At 35.2% G+C, this 11,554-nt stretch overlaps 1 long non-coding RNA gene across 1 annotated transcript; it reads left to right on the forward strand.

Annotated features, from left to right (window-relative positions):
• The first annotated feature begins 1,043 nt into the window (after positions 1–1,043).
• LINC02271 (long intergenic non-protein coding RNA 2271) lies at positions 1,044–11,039 on the forward strand. Its single transcript, NR_147148.1, has 4 exons — positions 1,044–1,163; positions 2,149–2,376; positions 4,739–4,792; positions 10,924–11,039. It is a non-coding gene; the product is annotated as a long intergenic non-protein coding RNA 2271 (long non-coding RNA).
• Positions 11,040–11,554: the final 515 nt, after the last annotated feature.

An 11,554-nucleotide genomic window follows, 5' to 3' on the forward strand; every position in this document is an offset into this window, starting at 1 on the left:
AATTATAAGCGCTCCATAATTGTTAATTGTTTTTTGTTTTTTTAGTCCTGGCTTTGTCACCAAATAATGTGGAACACAGTAAGACAAGTCATTTACTCTCTCTGTCAAATGAAGTTTACAGCACCTTCCTTAACTAGGTACTAAGTTTGCCGTAAATGAAAAGTTAAAAATGCTAGTAATTTACCTATTAACTTAAAAATATGATTTTTGTGTAATTGATTAACCTTAACAGAAATGGAGTAAATGGGATCAAAGATGTGTTGAATTTAGGTATAATGGTAAATGGGAGATACGAATAAAGGAAAAAATAGAAGAAGGGGCCAGGTGAGGTGGCTCACACATGGAATCCCAGCACTTTGGGAGGCCAAGGCGGGTGGATCATCTGAGGTCAGGAGTTCCAGACCAGCCTGGCCAACATGGTGAAACCCGTCTCTACTAAAAATACAAAAATTAGCCGGGTGTGGTGCCACATGACTGCAATCCCAGCTACGTGGGAGGCTGAGGCAGGAGAATCACTTGCACCCAGGAGACAGAGGTTGCAGTGAACCGAGATCGTGCCACTGCACTCCAGCCTGGGTGACAGAGCAAGACTTTGTTTCATAAAAAATAAACAAATAAAAAGTAAAAAAAGGGAACAAGGAAATAAATAAGCCGAAATGCTGTCTATTCCTGAGTTAGGAATTCTATACATACTTAACAGAATGTATTACATGCACAGACCAAAATCAACAATGTTTATAAAGCACAGAAACCTGAAAATTATAGAAAATATAAAGACCAATGGATTTAGAAAATGCAACATGATAAATGCTCAGTAAAAATTAGTTATTATAAATAAACATATCTTTGGAACAAAATTTTAATATCTATATTTTTATCTGCAGTTTACTAATTGGAAAATAGAAGTTCAAAAAAGTAAATTGCCCAAGGTCCACAACATAACTAGAACAATGTAAAAGCTGGAATTCAAGCCCAAGTTCTCTGCTGATAAAGCCCGTGTTCTTTCTAAGAATATTAACTGCCTCTCAATTCCATGAAATCACATTATGTAATATGCCTCAGGCAGTGGCAGAAACCTAGGCTGAAATAACCAGCACTACTTGCCAAACACTTTAGAAAGATTATGTTTCTTCTCCATTACAGAAGTGGAACATATGGTTCAGGTGGGCAGACAAATAAGTGGTTAATGGTTTCATCAATATCCTAAAGGAAGAAGTTGAATAATTAATTGACACTAGAAAAACATTAACAATGCAAGACTGAGAAGGACTGATACAATCATCTATAGGTCTCGAAATACTCAGCTATGTAAATTTTATTTTGTATTGTGCTATGTTGTATATACTGAACTGTATAGGGAATTTTAAGGGTAGTTTTGCCATATGCAATTTTAACCTTTTATATTGGCTTCTTATGACCTCAAATTACACTTCTCAACCACTGATGACAGGCAAATTTAATTTATTCTCCTTATAGGACACTGCTTCTTATATTTCCTATATAAGTGAAGGTAGGCTGTTACAGTCCATGAATGTGAAAATATCAGTAGCTTACCACAGTAAGCAATTATTCTCATTCAAAAATGCCTAAAATGGGTTTGCCTAGTAGGTGGTTGACTCTTGTTCAAGTTGTGACTCAGGGATCTGCGCCTCTTTATATTGTGAATGTGGTCTACCATCTTCATCTAAGATCTATGAATCTTCTGCAATAAGGAAGAAAAGCAGGAAAAAATCCTACATAAGAAATTTTGTAGGCCCGGCCTAGAAGTCTGCAGATCTTATAGCATTTCTACTGTAGATATAGTGTATGTTATATACATTACAATGTATATACAATTACATTCTTGTGGATAGAGAACTCAGTCACATGATTGTACCCTTTTACAATGGAGGATGAGCAAGGTAGTCTGCCTCTGTGTACAGGAAGATTTGGTGATAAACTAGGCAGTCTAAGAGATAGTCTCTCTACTGAAGATGATGTCTCATTCTAGATTTCCACATATTCAAATAATTTAAGGACCCTTCCAAATGCATCCTTCCCAAGAAGTATTCTAGGATCCCCCAACACAGATGTGATTTCTGCCTTATGTGATGTATTACACCAGATTGCAGGGTTTTAATTTTGTTTTGTTTTTACATTGTTCTTAAGGAATTTACCCTAAAGGCAAACTACAGAGGTTAAGCATGTGATGCAGGGGCCAAAATTGTGAGTTCAAATGCCAACATGTTTACTTACTAACTTCATGACCTCACAAACTTGCTTCAACTTTCTGTAACTTTGTCTGCTTATCTATAAAACAATACGTACCTCAACGTCTGGTTAAAAGTTTCAATTGGCATAATATATATAAAGCTCTTAGAAGACTGCCTGGAACAGGTGAGTACTCAATAAGTGTTATCCATCATTTTAAATCTGCCATTTATTACCCATTTACTTATCTCATTTCTTATACTAAACCATAACCCTCCTCAGGGCCAAGATCATACCTTACTCAATTTCAGATGTTATGTATTTCCTCTGTAGTACTTGAGGAATATTAGGTAATCAAATAATTAGTGGATTGAGACAAGTAATTTCTTTTAGTTCTTTTTAAAGATTTTAAATGCCCTTTTTTTATACAATGAGAAAAAATCAGAACAAAATTCATAGTGATGCTTCATACTCAGTTGCAAAATATTAAAATATATGTATTCATAATTTTCCCCATTACATCACACAGTTTAGTACATAAACGTCCACCTAAATGTATAGGGTGGTATTTATGATTGAGTTTTACCCTGTGTGCCCTTTATATTAATGTAAACTCTTGAACAGTGACCAACAATCATTACAGCTTGATGTCTGTTCAGTGGCTGGAATGAAATGAATTGGTCTCAGTCCAATTCCTAGTGGACAAGTGTCTAAATCAAAAAACACCACCACAATTAACATTACTTTACTTAATAGTTTTAACCACTGAGGTCAAGGATAAAATGAATAATAAAATTTGAACTAACCTTGCAACACAAGTTGTAACTTCTTCCTAAATAGAGCTTGGGTTAAGTTAAAAGGAATGCCTGATAACTAGTAAATTTACAGAATAAAAGGAAGAAAGGAACTCCAATGAGGAAGTAATTTTATACATCATAATAATCACATAATTTTATAAAACTGGATTTTCTATAATAGTCATTCCCTTTCACAAATAGCCTCAAAATCCAATGACTATATTTTAACTTAATTACTTCATTAAAGATCTAATCTCCAAGCATGGAACATTCTGGATTACTGGGGTTTATGACATCAACATAAAAACTTGGGGGGATACAGGACACAATTCAGCTCATAACAGCAGGGGGAGTAAAATTAAAATTTTCAGTGGAATGATCAAGTTAGATTTTATTGAAATGGTAACGTTTGGGCAAAGGCACAAAATAGATAATTTACAAAACAAAACAATTTAAATTGCAATTTTGTTTATAATAAAAGTTTGCAATAAAAACCAAATTTGCAATTAATAAAAACCAAGTAAAGCTAACTAACATAAGAAGGAAGTATTACCTCAGAGAACTCATGAAAAGACCTGAGGAAAGCCCCAAGATCACCACCCAGAAAGCCTGAAGAAACTTGGCAGTGCTGTCTCCCTGCTGATTTTCTCTGCTTCTCTCTTCATATCTGCTTTGTTCTCTTCGAGCAGACCCACTCTCTCCACTAGACAGTCTACATGGTTGATGATGGCTCTCCATGGTCTGCAGTCTATACATATTCCATTTTCAGCAGGTTGTAGAGACTTATTAACCATTTTTCAATGCTAATTCCAAATTCCAAGGAGAAAAAAGTCTGATTGGCCCAGTTAACTAATGGACAAAGACCTAGGATCATGCAGAACAAAGTTAGCTGCCCACAAGCCTTCTCCATGGAAGAATGCTAAGGATATGACTTGTGGACTAAGCAAATGCTTCCAACATAGTCTATAAAAGACAGTTAGGGCTGGGCGAGGTGGCTCACGCCTGTAATCCCAGCACTTTTGGAGGCTGAAGCGGGTGGATCATGAGGTCAGGAGTTCAAGACTAGCCTGACCAACATAGTGAAACCCCATGTCTAATAAAAATACAAAAAATTAGCCAGGCATGGTGGCACAACACCTGTAAATTCCAGCTGCTAAGGAGGCTGAGGCAGGAGAATTGCTTGAACTCTGGAGGCAGAGGTTGCAGTGAGCCGAGATCTTACCACTACACTCCAGCCTGGGCAACAGAGCAAGACTCCATCTCAGTTAAAAAAAAAAAAAAATACAGTAATGTTTTCCTCTTCAGATACTGAATATTGCTTTTTATAAAACTTCATTGTTTCAACCCTTTTTCTTTATCTACTGTCACTCTTCCTTCATTAAAATTTACCAACTCTATATAAAGTTACTCTAATCAGCTCATCCCTGATGTGGAAAAAGAGAAAGAGCACAAGGAAGGAAGTCATTAACCCACGACCTTGGGTGTGCTACTTTGTACCACTCACCACATGTTAAAACTCTTCTCTCACTATAGGGTAATTTCTTGTTTACTTAAATCCCCAGTTACTTATTCAAAATTTATTCAAAAATATGTGTATTAATTTCTCACTGTGGGTCAGGGACTCTGATAAGGCAGAACCTCTAAACGTGGGATGGGGAAGGGTTTTATCTTAGCTGCACTTAAGGGTTATTACTATTTGTAATTTAAAATTCCAATCTGCTTTATAATAACCCATACTTATCTCATTAAAGTTTGCAGCAAGATCCTCCCAGGAAAGTGAAGCGGAGAAAATGGAGGTAGAAACTGTAAGTTTCTGGAGGACAGGAGCTGAATCTTGTTATCTAAATATGAAGGATTTAACACATTTTTAGAAAACTATGTAGTGATGTTTTGTGGACTATATTCCACATTCTCATATCTCACATCTATAAACAACCTTTAAGGAGAATTTTCATGCTGGATGCACAACATCCAGCTGGCAGATTAGTGAGGGTTAAATGAATGTGAATATAAGACCGTGAAATAACTATGAAATAAGAGCATTTTGGTTGGTACACACTATTCCTATGACAAAATCTTTTAAATCTCAAAAGATGTACAATCTCCTTTTCCTGGTACAAGGATTACCAAAAATTTCACATACGATGATGGTTTTATTTTATTTTACCTCGAATTTCAGCCTCTAACTTCAACATTCATATATCCCAAAAGTAAGCAATCCATGAACAGCTCCACAATTTAGGGTTATTAATTAGAATAAAGTTAGCAGTTTGACTACAGAGTTCAGCCTGTTTTCTTGTGATTCTTTAATGCGATTGACTGCCTGCAAACATTTAAATGATTCCCCTGCCACTTGTCTATGTATTTAAGCAAATAGACTATTAAAAGTACAAAGACGTACTTGGTTTTTCTAATTTGACAGAGGATAAAAGAAGGCTTTCGCGGCTTTGTTTTATTTCTAAACTCATTTAGCACCAAGTGCATATCCACTTTGACTTTTTTTTGAAACAGGTTCATTATGAAAATGGTCTAATAACGAGTAGTTGGACCTAGAGGTTTATCCATCCCCAAATGAGCCCAAGCTTGTTTCTCGGCATTTCTTTTATAATTATGTTCCCTTTCAGCCCATTCTGTGGTCTCCTCCTGAACATATTCTCTTTTGTACTGTTTCCTTTGACTGTGAATACCTGCTTATATGTGGTAATTTTTATTATAAGTCTACCATATAAATACATCAACTGATATCTAGGTGTCTACCTTTCTTGAATTAATAATTTATAATATAGATGCTTGCTCAAAATCGCATTACTCATATTAGGGAAATATGCATAAATAAGCCATTCAATTAAAAAGAATATGAAGTATAAATGTCTTATAACTCTTGAGGTTGAGCTATGCCTAAGCCAAATGCTTGCAGGCAGATTGTTTTTAAGACTGTGACTCTGTAAGCAGATATGAGGGACAGGGACAGGGAAACTCGGAAGGAGGGAAGATAATGTAAGATCGCAGAACCTGAAAAACTAAGTTTCAGGACATGAGCTCCTTTACTCCTTTGTAAGTGGATCATATTCTGCAGTGTCCTACAACTGTTCAAAATGAGCTCAAAGTGCTGATTGTTAATTTTTCAGGAATTTTTTCAAATCAATTTTTCAGCCACTGATTGTTTAAAATTAGCCACAGTGCTAGTATTCATACCACGGAAATGAGCAAACACCACCCATTTTCACCTGTGAGACATCACTTATGAGTATTTTCATTTGCTCTACTAAGGGTCTACAGACTAAAGCAACATTTTTAAAATAAAGAACACAACCACACCTATTTATTTATGTACTACATATGCCTTCTCACGACAACTCAGACTTGAGTAGTTTAGGCATAGATTATCTGGCCTGCAAACCCTAAAATATTTATTAAATGGCTGTTTGCAAAAATATTTGCCCATTCCTGTTTTGAACTATGCTGGGTGAATTTCCAACCTTGGTAACACAGAACCCTATAGCAAGATTATTCCATTTATATCTTTGCCTTTGTTTTTCACTATTATAGGAGAGGCTAGCCTCATCTTCCCTGAAAAGGTTTACACATTTCTTTCCTAATCTTTGTGTTTGGTTTCTCATATAGGAGTACATATCTTGGCTCCCTAAATTTATGTTAGTTTTATTGAGATTTTAAATAGAAGCAGATTTTAAGGTCCCAGACCCTGGTATAAATATACTTTAGAAAAGTTTAACAAAATCCTACCATTAGAGGTAGACTTTATCTCTTGTTTAAACTCTGAATCTCTCCAGCACCATATATCAGTTTCTCCTTTGTGTGGCTGCTGACTTAATCTATGTCTCCATCTTGGCCTTCAGTTTTGCAATACCCAAGGTCCTCTTGACTCCAGCCATAGACTTCAGTAAGTCAGTGATGAGTCAATGTTTTTTCCAAAGAGCTATATTGCAACTTTGAGATTCCTAAGAGTGATCTTAAACCTCTGCTTCTTATTTTCTAGGTCTTTATTGGATTCTGTTTTTCTTCTTCTATTTCTTCTTTTGTCATAATTCCACCACTAAAATAAAATAAGCATAGCTTATACAGATCTAAAGCAATGTATATAGCTTTCCTTGATTATCCGGCTTTTCCTATTTTTCATTATTATTTAAATTTTTTTAATGTTATTTCAATCAATATTTGCATAACTATCTTTATTTCTAAAGCACAGCTGTTCTTTTCCACATTAGACTGTTTCAGTTATTAACTGCTAATCCCAATACTAATTATAATGACTGATGAGAATTTCATAAAATTCACAATCATGGGAAAACCATTTAAGAATTATATGCCAAATATAATACAAACTCTAGTTAAAATCTATTATATTTTTCCAAATTTATTTTGAAATTATGTTGATCCAAAATATAGCCATAGAGACCAAAACTAAAAATATACCATTTTAAATTTTCCTTTCCTAAGATGCTAAATATCAGAACAATGCTACCACCTTATAATTATCAGGTAAAGATAAAAGGTGGGTTAGTTTTGTTTCTATTATCAAAGTAGATATTAGGTGTTGTATCTTTCAAGAATCTTGCAATGAATGAAATTCAGCTTAAACTAAATTAAGCAAAATGGAAATAGATACAAAGATGAAATCTCGACATAGAGTACACGACTAAAGCAGGACTTTCTCTCTCTCTCTCTCTCAACATATATATATGTCTGTGTGTGTGTGTGTGTGTGTGTTGTATGTATATACATATGTACAACTCTATCCCTATTCATATCTCTGTCTCTTGTCTCTGCTTTCACGTATGTTGGCTTTCTTCTCAGGCAGATTCTCTACATGTAGCAAAAATGGCAACTACAACAACTTTAAGTTTCATATTAGCTTTTGAGACCTAAAATGTAAAATAACCTCTTTACCAATAATAGGTCAAGAGAATGTGCCTTAGGGGGATTTGGATTGTCCCAGCAAAAATGGGACATTGTCTTTTCCTAAATCAATCAATGAGGCCAAGGAAAATGATACAGTCTGATTGACCGAGGCTGGATTACATGCTCTCATCTGCAGTATTTGGGGAAAGGCCACATAAAAGTCTCAATTAATAATGGATTCTGTCAATAAATACATAAACGCAAGAGAAGGGAAAAAAGAGCCATTGTATCTACCCGTGTCTTCTATATGGACTATAAAAAGCTGCTTATTGCTAATGTGAAAATTTCCACTCTAAGGAAAGTGTGTGCTAAAATGAAATATAACTAAAAATTTAGCACTGTCCCTCTTCACTAGAAGGGCTTGCTCCATTTCAGGTGAAAGAATAATGAATAAGTGAATGAATGCATGGGTAAATGTTTAAGCATAGACTTGTCTTCTACGTCCAGGGCAATGCCTGCATTCAAAACTTCAAGGTCAAACTGACCATTTGTCAATCCTTAAAACAGGCATAATCAACCAGGGGTTGATGTAGCCATCTGGCCAGTATATATCCACACCCCTGGAGTAGGCCCAGAGCCAGAAAAACCAAAAGAGACAGCTTAGGTCTGGGGAAATGGCCAGGTTTTTACTCAACAGCAACGTTCTGAAGAATGCGTACTTTAAAGTCTTTCTTCAAAGAGCCCTCTAAAAATAAGGAAGTCATCATCTCATGGCTTGAGACTTTTGAATCCCTGAATTTTGTAAAGTGTCTCACTTTTCAACTGCCTAAAATCCCTCTATTCTCTATTAGTGCACAGTAAAATTTCTAATTATTTAATTTAATGCATAGATCTTTCATTCACTAGTTCATTCATCCAATTTTTTGCAATGTTGCTTTAAGTTACAAGACATTTCTTTTATTAAATATTCTGCATTGTTCCTCTCAATACTGATCCCTTTACCTTCGCTTTCCTCTCTCCTTTCTCTCCAAATTTTATACTACCCACTCCAGACTGAATGAATGCCAGCTTCATTAACACAGCACTCAATTTTAGGATGTATTTTATTAATTTCTAATTATGTGTGTATATGTGTATGTGCTTTAAAAATTAGATGGTAAATATGATTCACTGATAATTATATCTCTAGTCCTAAGTCCAATGGAAGACTAGCAATTATTCAGTAAAATAATTCAGTTTGTTTCAAATGAAAGTACCTGTGTCTGATTTGTGGTATGAAATCATTTGTACTTTAAAGAGAATGGGAAGGCATCATAAGGAAGCTGAAAGAGATTTCTTGATGCTTTTAAAGGTTCTGGAGATTATTTGCTATGATGACTTCAAATTCAAAATGCAAGACTTTTCTTGCTTTCATATGTGTGAGAACTATTTTTCTCTCTCTTTAAGACAGAAAGAGAAATAGTAAATTCTGTGGATAAAATGCAACAGTGGGATGGTAGCGAAGAGACACAAATGTTTAAATGACCCCATGTGCAAATATTTTACATTTGGTAGATGTTTACATATTATATTTTGGAGTCAGTTTGATCCTGTGTGAAGTGAGAAAAAAAGATAGTGTTATCTTTACTTTAAAAAATCAGTAACTGGAAAATTAAAAAGTTAAGTGGTTAGGCCAAGTTCATGAATCATATTAATACATGAGTTAATCCTGTAATATGGGGCAGGATTATAATTACACTGAAGTTTCCCAGTCTCTTTACTTATTGATGAATTACATTTGATCAGAAATATCATCCTTTAAGTATTAATTTTCTTCATTTTGAAATAAGGGTAAAATAGTACCCACTAAATAAACTCATAGTGAAAAGTAAAGAAAAAAAAATGCATGGAAATCCGTGCTCAACAGGAATTGTTTATTTTGCAGCCACTTCAGCAGCACTCTCTGACTTTACCAGGCCAACTTGCCTTGTTTAAGAAAATGTTTGCGTAGAAAAGGCAGAGCAAAAGTGGAAAATAATCATATATTCTAGCTTGCTGATACGTAAGAAGAGAGGCCCAAGAAAAAACTTTGGCAATTCATTGTGCAGACCAACAAGAAGTGTTACTGGTTGAGAGTAGATCAACTGTCATGGGGGAAAGAGCCTGTGGCTAAAGATGGTGAAGTAGCCTCAGGGTAGGATGGAGAGGAAGGAATGTATGAATACCAAATGCCATTTCCCCATGAGACATTTGCAGTGGGAGATGATTGCAAACTAGCTAGGACCTAAACTGGCCAACACAAGAAAATGCTTGCAGTTTCATAACGTTTTCTATGTCGAAATGCTAGTTTTCTGGACTAAAACTCTGGGTGAGGTACTCATTTTAAGGAATAAAATGCTATTAATATTGGTGTATTTTTATTTTTCATATACAAGTTGCTTAATATTCACAGACTTTTAAGGTTTGTAACAGAAAAGCTGCTGCAGATGTTTATATCAGGTACATGGAGAAACTGGAAACTGAGGGTAAGCTAAATGTTTTTAGGTCTGGGCTAGCAATTTAGAGAATTTGTCAGAGTACTTAGATACCTGTAAGTGTTGTTATACAACTTTCTTTCATTTAAAATTCAATGAACATTAACTTTAGATTAATTTTTAAGGCTCATGAATAAAAAATTCTTCCATTTAGAGTTTATTCAAAGTTTCTAAGAATTTATTTAACTATTCTTGAACTAACTAGGAAAAACTTAATATGGTAAGTATCGCCATCATTCTACCATTTATACTTTGATAGCAATTAATCAAGTTATTTACCTAAACAACAGTATATAGTTCTGAAATGAGAAATAAGAGTTAGCTTCTCAAAATGTTCACTAAGATCAGAGAGATGTTTGGAAGAAAATATAACTGAAGAACAGACATTTTTATTATTATAAACATTATTATTAATAATATTAGTATTGAGAGCAACTGTAGATTTCTCTTCCTCTAATTATTGATATTGTTATGAAGCCTAAGATTAATAATATACAAATACTAACACCTTACACATATCAAAATCTCATCCACCACAAATAATGTTATCTTTGTTTCCTCAGATTCTCCTCATTAAACTACCTGCCCTCTGTAATGTAGCTCTTCTGTGCTGCAGAAATTGATACTACACAAGAAAAGAAATGATGGGAGAATAGTGAAGAAGAGAAGAACTGGCCAGGTAGCAACATATAAGAGGCCAAGGGCCGGGCGCAGTGGCTCACACCTGTAATCCAAACACTTTGGGAGGCCAAGGCGGGCAGATCACCTGAGGTTGGGAGTTTGAGACCAGCCTGACCAACATGGGGAAACCCCATCTCTACCAAAAATACAAAATTAGCCAGGCGTGGTGGTGCATGCCTGTAATCCCAGCTACTCAGGAGGTTGAGGCAGGAGAATCACTTGAACCCAGGAGGCAGAGACTGCAGTGAGCCGAGATTGCGCCATTGCACTCCAGCCTGGGTAACAAGAGTGAAACTCCGTCTCAAAAAAAAAAAAAAAAAAGCCAAGTAGAAACATATAATGAACCTGAGAGAAAAAGAAGAAAGAAAATAGAAGCCATATGGGCTAGAGTAGTATGAAGAGAGATATTTGGGTAGTGAAGATAACTGCAATATAGATGGATGGAGTTTTTTATTAGATGGAGCTTTATCATTCAAACACCAGAATTCCCTGGACACGTGGGTCCAGAAATCA

Source organism: Homo sapiens, chromosome 4, assembly GCF_000001405.40.
Source record: "Homo sapiens chromosome 4, GRCh38.p14 Primary Assembly".
Lineage (NCBI taxonomy): Eukaryota > Metazoa > Chordata > Mammalia > Primates > Hominidae > Homo > Homo sapiens.